This window comes from Homo sapiens, chromosome 18, assembly GCF_000001405.40.
Source record: "Homo sapiens chromosome 18, GRCh38.p14 Primary Assembly".
Classification (NCBI taxonomy): domain Eukaryota; kingdom Metazoa; phylum Chordata; class Mammalia; order Primates; family Hominidae; genus Homo; species Homo sapiens.
The window spans coordinates 12179451-12199921 of NC_000018.10; the positions used below are offsets into that span (position 1 = coordinate 12179451).

Genomic DNA, 20471 nt, shown 5'->3' on the forward strand with positions numbered 1-20471 from the left:
AAGAGCACAGCCCCCTCCCCTGTGACAGAGGGGTAGGACAAAACAATTGGTGTTCAAGTGTTGGTTTAACTATGTCCTTTAAAACATTTCTCCACAGACACTGCCCAAAGCAGCCCTTCACTACAGTGGCAGATACACCTGCAAATCTTCGCCTAAAACAGTGACCTGACCAAGCTAACTGCTGCTGCCTGGAACACTGTCCTTACTTTAGAAATGTCGACCAGATTGTAGGATACCCAAACAACCTTTTCAAGCAGAAAGCAAACAGATTAAGAAAGTAGCCAGATGAGTTAGCGAGCCCAACAGTGACTTTTGTTTCTTTTTTTCCCTGTTCCCTTTTCTTTTCATGATAGGAAAGGCTGGACAGGGATGCGTTGCAAAAGCAGTGATCTAGCTTATCTTGCCACCACCCAGGATGGCCCAGGATGTGGGTTCTCCTTGAATGAATGTTTGGCAGTCTGGCAGCCTGACATGGTCTGCCTCCTTCTTTGGTCTGAGCTTGCCCACTGCTTAGAAAGGGCCATGGGCAGTTCTGTCAGGGAGTTTTCCCAACATTGAGAAGGTGACATTTCTACTCCCCGTTGCAGTCTGCACCTCTGACCTGTGGTCAGCAGACAGGACAGAGGCACTCAGTAGACAGAGCTCAGAGGACAGCACTCAGTCCCGGCGGAAGGTTCAATGTCCAGCTTTGCACCCACCCCATGTGACCACAAGCAGGCTCCATGACCTTGTGGGTCAGTTTCCTCACCCTGTTCAGGAGGAATTGTACTACCATCCTGTTAGGAAATTTGTGAGGATCACTGCGTTACTCATGTAAGGTCTTTGGAAAGTGTCATGTTATTGTTTATTAACTGCTTGTTGGTGGCCTGGCTGAGCCACATCCTTTATGAAAACCAGAACCCCTCAGCAGGTGTGGATGTCTGTGCAGCCTGAGACCCTTGTGTGAACAGCCTTCTGGCAGCTGTTTTTTCCCCTTGCCACAATCAGTGCCTCCCTGTCCCCAGGCGTTGCTTTCTCTGCTGGGTGCTGGGTGCTCCACTGTTTTCCTACACCTCAGTTGTCTACAGGTGTATGTCTGTTCTGGAATCTAACTGAGGTGGCATCGATAGCAGTTCTGCTGTGGCACTGCCCTTCTTCTTAGGTTGTCTTTTGAGAGCAAGAGAGGTCCCTTCACATACCCCAAGAACTTACCTGCATTTGCCCACATAGTCTCCATTTAGAAAATGGGAAAAGTCACGTCTGCCTACCTGCCAATGGGGTAAGAGGTAAGTTTCTTGTTGAAATCTGAGCAGAAAAATATGACCAATTCTATACCCATTGAAGACATGTATGAGAAATTAAAACAATTCTTTTTTTTTTATACTTTAAGTTTTAGTGTACATGTGCACAACGTGCAGGTTTGTTACATATATATACATGTGCCATGTTGGTGTGCTGCACCCATTAACTCGTCATTTAACATTAGGTATATCTCCTAATGCTATCCCTCCCCCCCCACCTCACAACAGGCCCCAGTGTGTGATGTTCCCCTTCCTGTGTCCATGTGTTCTTATTGTTCAATTCCCACCTATGAGTGAGAACATGTGGTGTAAAACAATTATTTATGGACTGTACCTCATATAAATTCCTAGAATTAAGTTCTAAAAAAAAATTCAAGGAGGACATAATAATTTTCTATAAATTAGAAAATTCTATACTGTGCAATTAAATAAAATGGCAGCATAGCTTTGAAACTAAAATCAGATAAGGTAAATTGAAGTATGTGATGAATAAAAATACCATAAATTGTGACCAATATGATTTCAAAATATGATATGGTAGATTAACATTGAAAATGCAATAAATAAATTAGCCACCATAAGAGGTTAATAGAGGAAAAATATGATTATTGCAATAGATACGGAAATTCATGGAATAACATTCACCATATATTTACAGGACAACTACCTTATAAACTTTAAATGACTTATTGCAACCATCTGAATTAATGTTGCTTAAACAGCATGTATCTTGGCTGCTTAAAAACCAGATAAGAATTTCCATAACATTAATTTATTTATAACACCATATTGGGTGTGAACCTATCATAAAGTTCACCCAACTATAAAGGTACACAATTGATGATTTATTAAATTGACACTGTGTGTAGCCATCACCATGATCTAACTTAAAAATGTTTGTTTCTCTGGGGGAGAAGCCAAGATGGCCGAATAGGAACAGCTCTGGTCTACAGCTCCCAGCATGAGCGACACAGAAGACGGGGGATTTCTGCATTTCCATCTGAGGTACCAGGTTCATCTCACTAGGGAGTGCCAGACAGTGGGCGCAGGACAGTGGGTGCAGCACACCGTGTGCGAGCCAAAGCAGGGTGAGTCATTGCCTCACTCGGGAAGCACAAGGGGTCAGGGAGTTCCCTTTCCTGGTCAAGGAAAGGAGTGACAGACGGCACCTGGAAAATCGGGTCACTCCCACCCAAATACTGTGCTTTTCTGACGGGCTTAGGAAACGGCACACCAGGAGATTATATCCCGCACATGGCTCGGAGGGTCCTATGCCCACGGAGTTTCGCTGATTGCTAGCACAGCAGCCTGAGATCAAACTGCAAGGCGGCAGCAAGGCTGGGGGAGGGGCGCCCGCCATTGCCCAGGCTTGCTTAGGTAAAGCAGCCAGGAAGCTCAAACTGGGTGCAGCCCACCACAACTCAAGGATGCCTGCCTGCCTCTGTAGGCTCCACCTCTGGGGGCAGGGCACAGACAAACAAAAAGACAGCAGTAACTTCTGCAGACTTAAATGTCCCTGTCTGACAGCTTTGAAGAGAGCAGTGGTTCTCCCAGCACACAGCTGGAGATCTGAGAACAGGCAGACTGCCTCCTCAAGTGGGTCCCTGACCCCTGACCCCCGAGCAGCCTAACTGGGAGGCACCCCCCAGTAGGGGCAGGCTGACATCTCACACGGCCGGGTACTCCTCAGAGACAAAACTTCCAGAGGAACGATCAGACAGCAGCATTCGCGGTTCACGAAAATCCGCTGTTCTGCAGACACCGCCACTGATACCCAGGCAAACAGGGTCTGGAGTGGACCTCTAGCAAACTCCAACAGACCTGCAGCTGAGGGTCCTGTCTGTTAGAAGGAAAACTAACAAACAGAAAGGACATCCACACCAAAAACCCATCTGTACGTCACCATCATCAAAGACCAAAAGTAGACAAAACCACAAAGATGGGGAAAAACAGAGCAGAAAAACTGGAAACTCTAAAAAGCAGAGCGCCTCTCCTCCTCCAAAGGAACGCAGTTCCTCACCAGCAACGGAACAAAGCTGGACGGAGGATGACTTTGACGAGGTGAGAGAAGAAGGCTTCAGATGATCAAACTACTCCGAGCTACAGGAGGAAATTCAAACCAAAGGCAAAGAAGTTGAAAACTTTGAAAAAAATTTAGACGAATGTATAACTAGAATAACCAATACAGAGAAGTGCTTAAAGGAGCTGATGGAGCTGAAAGCCAAGGCTCGAGAACTACGTGAAGAATGCAGAAGCCTCAGGAGCCGATGCGATCAACTGGAAGAAAGGGTTTCAGTGATGGAAGATGAAATGAATGAAATGAAGCGAGAAGGGAAGTTTAGAGAAAAAAGAATAAAAAGAAACGAACAAAGCCTTCAAGAAATATAGGGACTATGTGAAAAGACCAAATCTACGTCTGATTGGTGTACCTGAAAGTGACGGGGAGAATGGAACCAAGTTGGAAAACACTCTGCAGGATATTATCCAGGAGAACTTCCCCAACCTAGCAAGGCAGGCCAACATTCAGATTCAGGAAATACAGAGAATGCCACAAAGATACTCCTTGAGAAGAGCAACACCAAGATGCATAATCGTCAGATTCACCAAAGTTGAAATGAAGGAAAGAATGTTAAGGGCAGCCAGAGAGAAAGGTCGGGTTACCCACAAAGGGAAGCCCATCAGACTAACAGCTGATCTCTCGGCAGAAACTCTACAAGCCAGAAGAGATTGGGGGCCAATATTCAAGCTTCTTAAAGAAAAGATTTTTCAATCCAGAATTTCATATCCAGCCAAACTAAGTTTCATAAGTGAAGGAGAAATAAAATACTTTACAGACAAGCAAATGCTGAGAGATTTTGTCACCACCAGGCCTGCCCTAAAAGAGCTCCTGAAGGAAGCACTAAACATGGAAATGAACAACCGGTACCAGCCGCTGCAAAATCATGCCAAAATGTAAAGACCATCGCGACTAGGAAGAAACTGCATCAACTAACGAGCAAAATAACCAGCTAACATCATAATGACAGGATCAAATTCACACATAACAATATTAACTTTAAATGTAAATGGACTAAATGCTCCAATTAAAAGACACAGACTGGCAAATTGGATAAAGAGTCAAGACCCATCAGTGTGTTGTATTCAGGAAACCCATCTCACGTGCAGAGACACACATAGGCTCAAAATAAAAGGATGGAGGAAGATCTACCAAGCAAACGGAAAACAAAAAAAGGCAGGGGTTGCAATCCTAGTCTCTGATAAAACAGACTTTAAACCAGCAAAGATCAAAAGAGACAAAGAAGGCCATTACATAATGGTAAAGGGATCAATTCAACAACAAGAGCTAACTATCCTAGATATACATGCACCCAATACAGGAGCACCCAGATTCATAAAGCAAGTCCTGAGTGACCTACAAACAGACTTAGACTCCCACACAATAATAATGGGAGACTTTAACACCCCACTGTCAACATTAGACAGATCAATGAGACAGAAAGTTAACAAGGATATGCAGGAATTGAACCCAGCTCTGCACCAAGCAGACCTAATAGACATCTACAGAACTCTCCACCCCAAATCAACAGAATATACATTCTTTTCAGCACCACACCACACCTATTCCAAAATTGACCACATAGTTGGAAGTAAAGCTCTCCTCAGCAAATGTAAAAGAACAGAAATTATAACAAACTGTCTCTCAGACCACAGTGCAAACAAACTAGAACTCAGGTTTAAAAAACTCACTCAAAACCGCTCAACTACATGGAAACTGAACAACCTGCTCCTGAGTGACTACTGGGTACATAACGAAATGAAGACAGAAATAAAGATGTTCTTTGAAACCAACGAGAACAAAGACACAACATACCAGAATCTCTGGGACACATTCAAAGCAGTGTGTAGAGGGAAATTTATAGCACTAAATTCCCACAAGAGAAAGCAGGAAAGATCTAAAATTGACACCCTAACATCACAATTAAAAGAACTAGAGAAGCAAGAGCAAACACATTCAAAAGCTAGCAGAAGGCAAGAAATAAAATCAGAGAAGAACTGAAGGAAATAGAGACAAAAAAAACCCTTTAAAAAATTAATGAATCCAGGAGCTGGTTTTTTGAAAAGATCAACAAAATTGATAGACCGCTAGCAAGACTAATAAAGAAAAAAAGAGAGAAGAATCAAATAGATGCAATAAAAAATGATAAAGGGGATATCACCACCGATCCCACAGAAATACAAACTACCGTCAGAGAATACTACAAACACCTCTACGCAAATAAACTAGAAAATCTAGAAGAAATGGATAAATTCCTCGACACGTACACTCTCCCAAGACTAAACCAGGAAGAAGCTGAATCTCTGAAGTGACCAATAACAGGATCTGAAATTGTGGCAATAATCAGTACCTTACCAAACAAAAAGAGTCCAGGACCAGATGGATTCACAGCCAAATTCTACCAGAGGTACAAGGAGGAACTGGTACCATTCCTTCTGAAACTATTCCAATCAATAGAAAAAGAGGGAATCCTCCCTAACTCATTTTATGAGGCCAGCATCATCCTGATACCAAAGCCTGGCAGAGACACAACAAAAAAAGAGAATTTTAGACCAATATCGTTGATGAACATTGATGCAAAAATCCTCAATAAAATACTGGCAAACCAAATCCAGCAGCACATCAAAAAGCTTATCCACCATGATCAAGTGGGCTTCATCCCTGGGATGCAAAGCTGGTTCAATATACGTAAATCAATAAATGTAATCCAGCATATAAACAGAACCAAAGACAAAAACCACATAATTATCTCAATAGATGCAGAAAAGGCCTTTGACAAAATTCAACAACCTTTCATGCTAAAAACTCTCAATAAATTAGGTATTGATGGGACGTATCTCAAAATAATAAGAGCTATGTATGACAAACCCACAGCCAATATCATACTGAATGGGCAAAAACTGGAAGCATTCCCTTTGAAAACTGGCACAAGACAGGGATGCCCTCTCTTACCACTCTTATTCAACATAGTGTTGGAAGTTCTGGCCAGGGCAATTAGGCAGGAGAAGGAAATAAAGGGTATTCAATTAGGAAAAGAGGAAGTCAAATTGTCCCTGTTTGCAGACGACATGATTGTATATCTAGAAAACCCCATTGTCTCAGCCCAAAATCTCCTTAAGCTGATAAGCAACTTCAGCAAAGTCTCAGGATACAAAATCAGTGTACAAAAATCACATTCTTATACACCAATAACAAACAGAGAGCCAAATCATGAGTGAACTCCCATTCACAATTGCTTCAAAGAGAATAAAATACTTAGGAATCCAACTTACAAGGGACGTGAAGGGCCTCTTCAAGGAGAACTACAAACCACTGCCCAATGAATTAAAGAGGATACAAACAAATGGAAGAACATTCCATGCTCATGGGTAGGAAGAATCAATATCGTGAAAATGGCCATACTGTCCAAAGTAATTTATAGATTCAATGCCATCCCCATCAAGCTACCAGTGACTTTCTTCACAGAATTGGAAAAAACTACTTTAAAGTTCATATGGAACCAAAAAAGAACCCACATCGCCAAGTCAATCTTAAGCCAAAAGAACAAAGCTGGAGGCATCATGCTACCTGACTTCAAACTATACTACAAGGCTACAGTAACCAAAACAGCATGGTACTGGTACCAAAACAGAGATATAGATCAATGGAACAGAACAGAGCCCTCAGAAATAACGCCACATATCTGCAACTATCTGATCTTTGACAAACCTGAGAAAAACAAGCAGTGGGGAAAGGATTCCCTATTTAATAAATGGTGCTGGGAAAACCGGCTAGCCATATGTAGAAAGCTGAAACTGGATCCCTTCCTTACGCCTTATACAAAAATTAATTCAAGATGGATTAAAGACTTAAACGTTAGATCTAAAACCATAAAAACCCTAGAAGAAAACCTAGGCGTTACTATTCAGGACATAGGCATGGGCAAGGACTTCATGTCTAAAACACCAAAAGCAATGGCAACAAAAGACAAAATTGACAAATGGGATCTAATTAAACTAAAGAGCTTCTGCACAGCAAAAGAAACTACCATCAGAGTGAACAGGCCACCTACAGAATGGGAGAAAATTTTCGCAACCTACTCACCTGACAAAGGGCTAATATCCAGAATCTACAATGAACTCAAACAAATTTACAAGAAAAAAACAAACAACCACATCAAAAAGTGAGCAAAGGATATGAACAGACACTTCTCAAAAGAAGACATTTATGCAGCCAAAAGACACATGAAAAAATGCTCATCATCACTGGCCATCAGAGAAATGCAAGTCAAAACCACAATGAGATACCATCTCACAACAGTTAGAATGGACATCATTAAAAAGTCAGGAAACAACAGGTGCTGGAGAGGATGTGGAGAAATAGGAACACTTTTACACTGTTGGTGGGACTGTAAACTAGTTCAACCATTGTGGAAGTCAGTGTGGCGATTCCTCAAGGATCTAGAACTAGAAATACCATTTGACCCAGCCATCCCATTACTGGGTGTATACCCAAAGGACTATAAATCATGCTGCTATAAAGACACATGCACACGTATGTTTATTGTGGCACTATTCACAATAGCAAAGATTTGGAACCAACCCAAATGTTCAACAAGGATAGACTGGATTAAGAAAATGTGGCAAATATACACCATGGAATACTATGCAGCCATAAAAAACGTTGAGTTCATGTCCTTTGTAGGGACATGGATGAAATTGGAAATCATCATTCTCAGTAAACTATCGCAAGGACAAAAAACCAAACACCGCATGTTCTCACTCATAGATGGGAATTGAACAATGAGAACACATGGACACAGGAAGGGGAACATCACACTCTGGGGACTGTGGTGGGGTGGGGGGAGGGGGGAGGGATAGCATTAGGAGATATACCTAATGCTAAATGACGAGTTAATGGGTGCAGCACACCAGCATGGCACATGTATACATATGTAACTAACCTGCACATTGTGCACATGTACCCTAAAACTTAAAGTATAATAAAAAAAAAAAGTTACTCTCACTGAAGTTCTCTCTTGCCCATTTCAATCCCTACTCCCATCTCCAGCCCTAAGCAATACTGCTCTGATATTCTGTCTGTATAAATTTCCCATCTGTGTAATAGAAATGGAATCATACAATATATTATATTGAGGTCTGACTTTAATCATTTAGTTACTATTTTTGAAGTTAATTGATGCTTTAGCTTGTGCCGGTCATGTGTTTTCCTTTTCATTGCTTCATAGTCCATTGTGTGGATATATAAACAGTGTTTATTCATTCATCAGTTGATGGACATTTAATTATTTCTGTTTTTTGTATTATGAATAATGCTGCTTTGAGCATTCATAATACAGTCATGTAATGTATAATAACATTTTGGTCAATGATGGATAGCATGTATGATGGCAGTCCCATAAGATTATGATAGAGTTTAAAAATTCCTATCACCTAGTGTCTTGTAGCTGTCACAAGTGTGTAGCGTAACACATTAGACAGGCATCAGTGATGATGCCGATGGAAAGGAATCTACTGGTTTTCCAGTTATGTTAAAGTACTGTATAGAACATACAACTATGTGCAGTATATAATACTTGGTAGTGAAAATAAATGACTATGTTCCTGGTTTATGTATTTACTGTGCTATACTTTCTATAATTATTTGAGAATATATTCTATCTGCGTATTAAAACAAACCACTTACCTGTAAAACAGCCTCAAGTAGGCCTTTGAGGATGTATGCTAGAAGGTGTTGTTATCGTAAGAGATGACAGCACCATGTGTGTTTCTGCCCCTTCCAGTGGGACAAGATGTGGATTCAGAAGGCAGTGACATTGATGATCCTAATCCTGTGTAGGTCTAGGCTGATGTGTGTGTCTGAGCCTCAGCTGTTAACAAAAAAAGTTTAAAATTTAAAACTTAAATTTTAAAATAGAAAAAATATAGAATAATATTTTAAAAATTTGCACAGCTGTACAATATGTTTATGTTTTAAGGTAAGTGGTATTACAAAATAGTTGTTTTTAAAATTGTTTAAGTTTATAAATTTTAAATGTTACAGTAGGCTAAGGTTAATTGTTGAGTAAATAAAAATAGATTTCTATAAATTTAGGGTAGTCTAAAGATACAATGTTCATAAAGTCTATAGTAGTGTACAGTAAGGTCCTAGGCCTTCACATTCACTCACCATTCACTCACCGAATCATCCAGAGCAACGTCCAGTCCTTTAAGCTCTGTTCATGGTAAAGTGCCCTATACAGATGTACTAATTTTTATATTTTATACCATATTTTATTGTAGCTTTTCTATATTTAGATTTTAGATATATAAATGCTTACCGTTTTGTTACCTTTGCCTGCAGTATTCAGTACAGTTACATGTTGTACAGTTTGAAGCCCAGAGCAATTGGCTGTATCATACAGCCTAGGTGTATAGGGGGCTATGCCATCCAGGTTTATGTAAGTGCACTCTATGATGTCTGCGTAATTACTACATCACTTAACGATGCATTTCTCAGAACACATCACTGTCGTTAAGAGACACATGTCTGTACAAATGACTTTGGAGAATATGCTTTCAGTTCACTTGGAGCATTCCTGGGTGTGGATTTGCTGGACCAAATGGTAAGTTCAAATTTAATTTTTTTTAAGAAACAAGAAAGCTATCTTCTAAATTAGCTGTGCCAATGTACATTTCTACCGTGCTGCATAGTACCAATTTCATACAGTGTATGAAATTGGTACACTGTATGGTAAGCCCTAGCATGTAAGAAATGAATAAAGTAACACATATAAAGATTAGTATAAAGCAAATGAGATTATTATTGTTGTTATTGTCTTTGTCAGATTCTCAGAATAATTAAGAATATATTTTTATATAAATGTGCTTGGCAACATAGCTGAAAACAGCGTTAGTAGTTATATACTTTTATCAGTAACAAAGACATAAATTTTCCGGGAGAAAAACACTTGTAATAACAATGTCAGAATTAACATACAAATTCTGCAAAACATTTTTGGCAGTTTAATTGGGGCAGTGTTTTGTAGACAAATGAACAACTTAAGTAAGGGGAATCAACAAAACTTGGGTTTCAAAAGTTATCTGGGTTTAGAGTGTGAAACTTCGTCGGAGGACACACACCTTGCGTGAATGAGATGCCTCGGTGTGTGTGGACATGTTGGAGGTACAGCATAATGGTGGCTTCCTCCAGAAAGGGACATTTGGGGGAGCACCAATGGCTCCTGTCTCACAGTGGATTCATTCCACCTAGACAACACAGCCTGATGTGGCATGGACATGAATGGAGGTCAAATGGGCAGTAGCTGAGAGGATCAGCCCTGACAAGGGCCAGGGTGAAAGACCTGGGAGTCTCTTCAGGTGCAAAGTCTTCAGTTGAAAAAAGGAGGTGGTCACAGGAGATACTGAGCTGGATCAATAAAGTGCAGGAGAGAGAGTTGTTGGCCCTGGGGAGCGAGTAGTATGGACTCTTAAGTTTTCTCCTCCTTCCATTAATTTCTCTTCCAGTGCAGACTTCAGTCTTAGACTTCCCAGCTGCCTTGAGGGATTGGATGAGCCTTGGCCAGCTCTTGAAGGTAAAGGAAAGCACCTAGCAAGATTGGCATCTGGGCTTGGCTGTGCATGTTTTCTATTCTGGGAAAATATACATAACACAATATTTATTTGAACCTTTTAACCAATGTGTGCACTCAGTGGCATTCAATATATTCACAGTGTTGCATAACCAACACTACTATCTACACCTGAAATTTTGATTATTTCTAACGAAACCTTGAAGACAGTAAGCAATATACTTCCTTTCCCCCTATTTCCAGCCCATGGTAATTTCTTTTTCTTTTCTTTTTTTTTTAGGAAACAATAAAATCACTTTAATGTGCTACTTTTCATTTTGAAGTCATTACAGTATCATTTGCAAAACTCAACAAGGAAAGATGCCTGTGGATGGCCGTGTTCTGGGAGTCACTGTGATGAGGTGCTGCCTGCTTTCGCCCAACCTGATCTGGGGCTCAGACAGCTAACAGGCCCGAGTGGCTAGGAGGTTTGCAGGGAACCAGGTTTCGCTGTGATGAAAGCACCTTGCTGTGGGCTGGGAGGTGGGAGTGCAGGGCAGCCTGGGCCCCCCTGACCCCATACTCAGATCGGCAAGTGCCCAGTGGAGGCCACATGGCCCCAGCACCAACCAATGTAGGGTCTGTGGGTCCCAGCATTTCCACATCCTGAAAAGTGAGACGTGAACTGTTTCCTAGGCAAGTTCTCTTCCACCGTGTTCTGGATGAGGTCTGTGAGCTCCTTCCAGTTTCACAAAGAATGTGCAGAAGGTGGAAAGAGTGAGGGACGCAGGCCCAGCTGCAGCTGCACTCAGACCCCTCAGTCATAAAGTCCGGGTGAGGGGCTGAGTAGGCGCTGACAGGAGAACAGCCCCTGTTCCTCTTCCCTAGCCAGGTTCTCACACGTCCCTGAGGAACTAGAGAGGAACGCCTCTGGGAAGCCCAGCCAGAGCCAACCGGAAGGGCCTTTTGGTGAAGTCTGACATCCTACATTAGTTTCTCTGGACCTGGGTAAGAACCGGCCCCCAGGGGAAGGACTGTTTTGCCAGCACCAACTCTCCAGCTGGGCTGTTGGTTCCCATTGCCTCCCGTCATGGATACAGAAAATCAGCCAGGCTATTCCTAGTGTAGTAAATACAGAGCTGGCTGAGGCAGGGCCAGCTGAGGTGCAAACTGCATGGGGTTTGCTGTCAGTTCGCCAGCCATCTGTCCAGCAGGCCTCAGCTTCACAAACAGGAAAACAGAAGGAGTGCATCTACTCACTGGGTGTCACACTGCCCCTGCTCACAGCCACCACCTGCATCGAGGCAACCTGCAGGCGGGAGTTTGGTTCCAGGAGGTGTCTGTAAACTTCTGTCCTGGGGTGGGCCACTGCAGATGGCCTGTCCTTGCTTTCTCATCACCAAATCCCCGTTTTGGTGCTGACACATCCAGACGTTAAAATCGCTGATGTTTTCACAAGACCCACAAAGAGGGAGGGTCCAGGCACATTTTTTCTTTCCGTATCACCCTGGAGTGATGGGGAAATTTCCCCAAAAACCATGTGTACTGTGATTGCACATATTGGGGTGGGTATATTAGACTAGGGGGCCGCGGATGGGTGGGGAAAATCTTTCATGTGAGGTATTCCTCTAAGCAATTCTTGACAACTCTTTTCTCCTCCCTTCTGGAAGCTTCTGGCACTGGAGGTGGAGGCACGGCATGTCAGGGGTGCAGGTCAAGACCACACATGCTTGGCACAGTACGCAGAGCTTGGCTGGGCTGTGGGTGGGTGAGCATATGCGGGAGGGCCCTTGGCTTTGGCCACCGAATGCCCCTTGCTGGCTAGTCAGCCGGGACCACCCCTGCCCCTCCCACTCACACATTAGGCAAGCTCTTCACAGAACCTGCGTGTGTCCTCAGGCACCGTCATGGAGTAGCCCACGGTTCTGGAGTCTGTGAAGGTCTCATGGTCGTTGCCACCTGGTATGATTTTGTCTCCAAAGAAATAAATGGCCTTATAACTGTCATTTTTCACATGTCACAGGCAATACCTCTTGCCCCATCCATCAGGAAAGACATCAAAGCTGATCTGGCCTCCTACGAAAAACGTGAGGGCTTTTCCTGCAAACTCTTTCCTTGATCTGCTACAGCTTTTTCTCTTATATTTTCTTTTTTATTGAATTCGTAGAACTCAATGCATTCTTCTTGGCTGCAGCTTCTTCCAAATAGGGGACATGTTTAACATCCCATTTCAGAATTCAATGAAAGTACCCCTCTTCTTCAGGAGTTTAATTTTTGCATTGCAGCTCAGACAATAGTTGATTAAATCTTAGATTTGGACCTCACCCAGGTGACTTTGAATATTCCATTTACACGAGGATTTCCCATCTTTGTGTGCTACCAAGCCATTTTCTGGAAACGCGTAATCATATTTTTCAACCACAGCATTTCCCAGTTGCTCCTGCGCTTCCTCAAAGTCCAACCTGCCTACCACTCCGATTTTGATCTTCTGCCTCAATTTTTGTAGGAAGTCATCCATTTCTTTGGTAATTTTCTGCTGCAGGGTGGTCAGGGTCCCATCAACGTCCAAAAGGCAGAGCACTGGGCCGGGTGCTGCCATGTCCCCGGTTTCCAACTGCACCTTACAAGACTGGTTGGCAGCAGCCCATGGTAATTTCTATCCCATCTTCTGTGTCTATGCATTTGATTATTCTAGGCACTTGATTTTAGTAGAATCCTACAATATTCCTTTTGTGTCTGGCTTATTTCATTAGGCATAATGTTTTCAGTATCCATCCGCATTGTATCATATATCAAAATTGTTTTTTACAGATGGATGATGTACCATTACATGTATATACCACTTTGTTTTTATACATTCATTTGTTCACTGATAGTTGGATTTTTCCATCTTTTGGCCCTTGTGAATAGTGATGCTATCAACATTAGTGTACAAATATCTGTTTTGAGTTCTGTTTGCCATTCTTTTTGGTATATACCTACTACTAGAATTCCTGGGTCCAGTGGTAGTTCTATGTTTAACCTTTGGAGCAACTGCAAACTGTTTTTCACAGTGATTGCAACTTTATACGTTTCTACCAGCAATGTATCACAGTTACAATTTCTTGTTTTCCTTTAAACACTTATTTTAAATTATTTTCCTTTAAAAAAATTATCCAGCCGGGCATGGTGGCTCACGCCTGTAATCCCAGCACTTTGGGAGGGTGAGGCAGGTGGATCACAAGGTCAGGAGATCGAGACCATCCTGGCTAACGCAGTGAAACCCTGTCTCTACTAAAAAATAGAAAAAAAATTAGCCAGGCGTGGTGGCAGGCGCCTGTAGTCCCAGCTACTTGGGAGGCTGAGGCAGAAGAATGGCGTGAACCCAGGAGGCAGAGCTTGCAGTAAGCCAAGATCGTGCCACTGCACTCCAGCCTGGGTGATAAAGCAAGACTCTGTCTCAAAACAAAACAAAACAAAATTATCCTAAGGCCAGGCACAGTGGCTCACACCTGTAATCCCAACACTTTGGGAGGCTGAGGTGGGTGGATCACGAGGTCAGGAGTTCAAGACCAGCCTGGCCAAGATGCTGACACCCCGTCTCTACTAAATGTACAAAAATTAGCTGGGCGTGGTGGCACGCGCCTGTAATCCCAGCTACTTCGGAGGCTGAGGCAGGAGAATCGCTTAAACCTGAGTGCTAGAGGTTGCAGTGAGCCAAGATCAAGCCACTGCACTCCAGCCTGGGCAACACAGCAAGACTTCGTCTAAAAAAAAAGAAAATTATCCTAGTAGGTGTATATTGGAACCTGTTTGTGCTTTTCACTTGCATTTCCCCAATGACTAGTGATGCCGAGCAGCTTTTCCTCTGCTGGGTATACCTCCTTTAGAGACTTATATATTCAGGTACTTTGCCCATTTTTAGAATTGTCTTTTGTCTTTTGTTTGTTGTTGTTGTAGATTTTTAGGAGTTTTAGAATATATTCTAATTTTTAATTTCTTACAAGATGTATAATTTGCAAATATTTCTCCCTTTTTTTAGAACTTTAGATGTACAAACTTCCTTAATTTGTGTAAAATTGATTTTTTTCTATTTATTTATTATACTTTAAGTTCTGGGATAAAAATTGATTTTTTTAAGCATTGCCTTATTTTTAGTGTCTTATTCATTAAAAGGTTGCTAAATTCACTGCCATGAAACCTTATCCCAATATTTTCTTCTGAGAGTTTTATAATTTTAGCTCTTATATTTAGGTCTCTGACACATTTTGAATTAATTTTTTATATGGTGTAAAGTAAACATTCAGTTCATTTATCTGAATGAGAATGTGCAGTTTTACCAACATCATTTGCTGAAGAGGCTTTCCACTTTCCATTGTATATTTATGGCACTTTGTTGAAGATCACTTGGCTATATATGTATGCGTTTAATTCTGGGCTCTCTATCAGTCCCAGTGGTCCTTATGGGTGCCCTAATTCTAGGACCATACTTTTTAAGTATATGTAACTGTATTGTACATTTCAATCTCATAAACGTGTGTCCTCCAACACAATTCTTCTTTTACAATGTTATTGAATATTTGAGACCCCTGGAAAATTCATTCAAAATTGAGGGTTTTCTTATCCATTTTTGCAAACATGGTTGTCAGCAGTTTGACAGGGGTTGTGGTGCATCTGTACATCACTTTGTATAGTATTGCACTTGAATAATGTTTAGTCTTCCTGTCCATGAATACAGGATGCCTTTCTACTTATTTATATCCTCTTTACTTTATTTCAGCAATGTTTTGTTCTTATTGAGGTGTAAGTATTTTGCTTCCTCGGTTAGTTATCTTACTAAGTATGTAATCATTTTACATGTTATTATAAATGGAATTACATATGCAATTTTCTTATTGGACTGTTCATTGTTGGTGTATATTAACACAGCTGCCATTTGAGTGTCAGCCTTATACTCTGCAACTTTGAACTTGTTAACATTAATAGCATTCTTATAGATTATTTCATATTTTCTATATATAAAAAGGTAGAGAAGTTATTGGCTTCATATCTATTTTCTCAAGATATGAAATGTATATTGCTACTGTACAGTTAAATTCATACTCCCTACTGAATGATGTCCTTCCAAATGGCCTAGTTAGATTGTTCAAAAAATAATTTGTCTTCTTATTCCACAATTTATAGTTTTAGTTCTTTCTTCAAGATGATGTCTTTGTTTTTTTCCTTTTGGTAATACGTGGTATTTCTCATTCTGTTCTGCACAGCAAGGCTCCCTGTTAGCTAGTAACTGGAAGAATATGGCAATGTCTATTTTGTCTTTGCTTTAACATCATTAATGACCTTTTTAATTACTAATATCAGAAATTTGCAGTGAATCTGGAGTGGAGGAAATGTGCAGGGAAGCTTTTCACAAATGAAGGAAGCCTGACCTTCCTTTTAACATGGCTTCCTTCTTTTCCTGAGACGGAAATGTATACTGAGCTCATGACGTGTGGAGCCTGTTGCTTTTGCTTCTCCTCATATCATGAGTTTTCCCAAATATCTAATGATAATGTCTGTGTCTAGGTCCATTTATCTACCACAACATGATTCCTAAGCATATTTTTGTGTATTACGCAGAATTCTCTACTTACAGACATATCAATAATATACTTTCACCCAACCCATTGCCCTCCTCAGAGGTAAGAGATGCCCAAAATGGTTCTCCTGTCGCTTCATCCCGAGCACTGCTCCAAGGCTGGGCTGTGCTCATCTCTGTAGCTGGGCAGTGGGCTCAGGCAGAGCCACTTACATTTGGGAGGAATAAGTCATAAGAGATAATAGTGTATCATGAGTTTAGAACACCAAGATGATATAGCAGGTCACTCTCCTCTCCTGGTAAACTGGTGTTCATCCCATTGGACCAGGTATCTGTGGATTTTTTGTCAGGTTACTGGTTCATTTTGTAGACAGCACTCACTTTAAAAAAAATTTTTTTTGGAAGTAGCCACTGCATGGAATCAGGATGTCACCAAAAGCATTTTTGACACCTAGAGCTATCTGATTCCTTCAAAACCAAGTTTGGGCTAAGCTGAAGTGGTTATTTTTGGACAAAACAGGTCTGTGTTATGGAATCAGCCCTGACTTGGAAGCTTATCTCCTGGGTTTGAAAGCAGCTCTGAATCTTGCTAAGTTGTGAGACCTCAGGCAAGTCAGTTCACCTCTAATTGACCTTGCTGACCATACACAACACACACTTTACTTTTAGTACCCCATTCAACCCTCACTACAAACCTCACCTGAGTTGTGGTAGTTTACTGTCCAGACTCCTTAGATGGAGAAACTGAGGTGCTAAATGAATGTGCGCAAACTTGCAGGATCCTAAGTGAAGGAGACAAGATGTGAACCTAGACATGTGGCCCCAAGGCTGAAGCAGTGAGTCGCTGAACTGCAGTTATCATGCTGAGAGGGGTGGCTTTCAATCCTGCCATGAGTTATAAGCATAGGTGGCTCCCTCACTCATGTGTGTCCTAGATTTATGTGAGTCTGCAGACATCCCAGGCACTGGCTGTGATTACAGGGTGGCCACAGTAATCACATAGCTTAGGGCAGACATCAGTGAATGTAACTGTATCACTGGGCATAGCCATTGGTGTGGGCAGTACAGAGAGGGCCCAGATACTTCTCATGCCATGGCCAGGTCACAAGTTCTGGTCACTGGGAAGCAGCACTGAGAGACTTTCATGAACTTCTTTCAGTGCTGAGGACACTCCTCAGCAGTTGGCCCCAAACAGGTAAGATTGAAGAAATATTTTTGAAACAGTAGAGTGTATTATCACCAAAAGACCTAGGAGTGATCAAATCCTGCAAGCTACACATGAGGCAGAATGACAAATAAGGCAGCAAAGGGCCATTTGGTGATTAGTTCACCAAACTTGTTGCAACTGTTTGTACTGCAGAGTTAAAACATACCAGTATTCAACCCACATCTCCTCTCCTGAAATAAACTGTCCAACATTAGCTGGCCAGAACAAGCACAGATATTCTTCAAACTCAACTAATATGCATACATGACAAAGAAAAGGCGGTCTGGATGAAAAAATAGTGGGTTATTAATAATGGTTATTTTAAAGGATATAATTTCAGTGTTTCTAATTCTGTCATTGGTTATAACAAATGATTAGTGAATAAATACAATAGACTTTTGCCTGGAATTGAATCCAATCTGTCCATTAAACTTTGCTTTTATTCAAGTGCAAAATCCTAAAACACATAATAACTGCAGTGACAGCCAATGTGGATCCATTGACATAAAAATGGTCTTGGGACATAAATCTTACAAGCTAATATTGTTTTACGGGGTTTAGAAAACCATTTAGCTGGGTTTCAAAACCAGCAGTGTGAGTAATGGGATTCTCATCAAATTACAGCATGTACTTCAGTACTGTTTGTAGACTGACTTATTCTTGTTGCGTTAGGTTGCCATTAGCAAAATGCCAGGGACTCAGTTTCTCACTCCTTTCATGCTCCTCTTTCTTGCCTGTCTTTTCATGAGGAAAAATTTTCTAGTGCAGTCCAAGCTGTGCTTTTAACCGAACACATCCACACACACTGTCCTATTGTCTACATTCAGCAGAGCTCCCTGGATAAATCATGAACAGAAGCATCTATGACCGACAGTTGCTCTGTGTCCTTCTAGCCTCGCAGGAGTTTCCAGCTCATGAGGGCAGAGGAGATGAAGAGAGGCCGATCGACGTGAGGGTGAGGTTGCCTTGCTTTCCCTAAAATAGACATGTTCCTTTCTTGGTTGCTTTTTCAATTAACTTTACATGTGAAAAAAATAACAATGTGCATTATAGACATTAAATACTGTTTTCTGGGGTGGTGGAAGAAGATATTCTCAGCAACTGATATGTAATCCAAAATGACATTTACGTATGATGGCCTCAGGTTATAGACTGTATCCCTGGGGTCCTTGTTCTTGGAAGCAATGTCTTCTTGGATTAAGCATTTTGCACTTGCCGACCTAAATGGACCTAAGAGATACACCTTCTAGGAAAAGCTCATGTCTTTTCCAGTGTGCATCCTACCCTTGTTTTGGGGGCCTTGGAGTTGACTACAGTTTCTGATGCAGTTTTTAATGCTCTTTGAGAGAAACAGAGCCAGGTGCAAACAATCCACAGCTCAATGTGCCCCTCATATAGCTTTGTTTCTGTATTGCAGGTTGTGCAGGCGGCCCCTCTGAGGTGTGACTCCAGTAAGTACTCTGGAATTACTTGCTGAGAAAGAAAAGTCTGGATGCCAAGAAAGGTGTGACATCCTTGCTGGCTTCAATGTGAAGAGCCACCCTGATTCTGGGATTCTGATAGGAATAAGGGTAGTGGACTTTTTTTTTAAGTTCTCCAAGCAAAAATTATGACCAAATGTCTCCATCTGATGAAGCAGCTGCACTCCTATGGGGGCGCTGGGCTGTGCGCTTGCCTGGTGTCTTATGAGTCTGCATCGTGTGATATGATTGTGTGTGTTTTCGTATAGGGGAGGCTGTGTGTTTTCTCAGGAGAGATTTTCCATTTACACAGCACAATTGCCAGTCTCCACTTCTAAAAAGTAAAATCCACCCCTGTTCTACTCTCTCCATACATGACTCATTCACCCGTGCCAGAGCCACCTTTCATTCCCCTCACTGCTCAGGTGGAGAATCTGAAGGGCCAATGGGAGTGGCCCCAGCTTTTGAGCTCCTGAATGAAAAAGTCAAAACATGAGCTCAGGTGTGTGGCCCAATGCTGACAGTCACCTGCTGACATGCACTTATGCATCAGTCACAGGGTGTTCATCACCATGCAGGAGTCCAGCATTCATGTACAAGCCCTAAAGCACTGAGCCTGAGAGATCCCAGACTCTGCCCATCACCATAAAGTGACCTCCATGGTCACATAACCCAGAGCAGTTATAGGCACATCTTCCTACAGACCAGCATAGTCCTCAGTGTCAAAAGCACAAAGATCCCCGGATGTTTTGGGTCAGCTCACAGGTTCTAAGATGTGGGGGACCATATAGAACAGTTCTGAAGTTATTTTGCTCAGCAGCTGGCCAAAGCTTATAAGGATCAGTGATATATTTCAGTAGATTTAGTAATGTTCACAAGCCCTAAAATCCTCAAAACCTGCCAGCTAAAAATGGTGAAGAGAGACAGATAAGAACACTGCTCCACTCAGTGTGGTTTCCGTTGCCTCGTGGCAACTCTGTTATACATCTGGATTAAGGATCCTCAGCCTCAACCTAACCTTTCCTCCATGAGGAACCGTCTCACTGTTAACTGACTAGTGTAGCCTGCCTGGCCATTAGCCTACGTGAAATAAAGTTTTGCTTTAAAACAAGTGTAAATCTCATACAGCAGATAAGTGCAGTAGCAGCAGCATCTTGCAAGTTGTAAAGAAGACAGCGGCGATGTAGCTGGACTTGAAGCCAGACAGGAGGAATTAGGGAACTCTGTCACTGAATTACAGCACGCAGAGTTGAAAACCATTTGTAGACAATTTCGTGTTACAGTAGGTAGCCTTTAGCTAGTAAGCAAAGGTCTCTGTTTCTCATTTCTTTCCTGTTCATCTTCATTGTTGTCCTTCTTCCA

At 41.8% G+C, this 20471-nt stretch overlaps 1 protein-coding gene and 1 pseudogene across 1 annotated transcript in view; one reads left to right on the plus strand and one right to left on the minus strand.

Moving 5' to 3' along the window:
- ANKRD62 (ankyrin repeat domain 62) overlaps positions 1-2234 on the plus strand; it is an 87842-nt gene extending 85608 nt beyond the window's left edge. The window contains exons 19-20 of the transcript XR_001753188.2: positions 98-1265; positions 2198-2234. The gene's annotated coding sequence lies outside the window, so the exon portion shown is untranslated. The remainder of the gene's footprint in view (positions 1-97; positions 1266-2197) is intronic.
- On the minus strand, positions 12597-13524 carry PMM2P2 (phosphomannomutase 2 pseudogene 2; annotated as a pseudogene).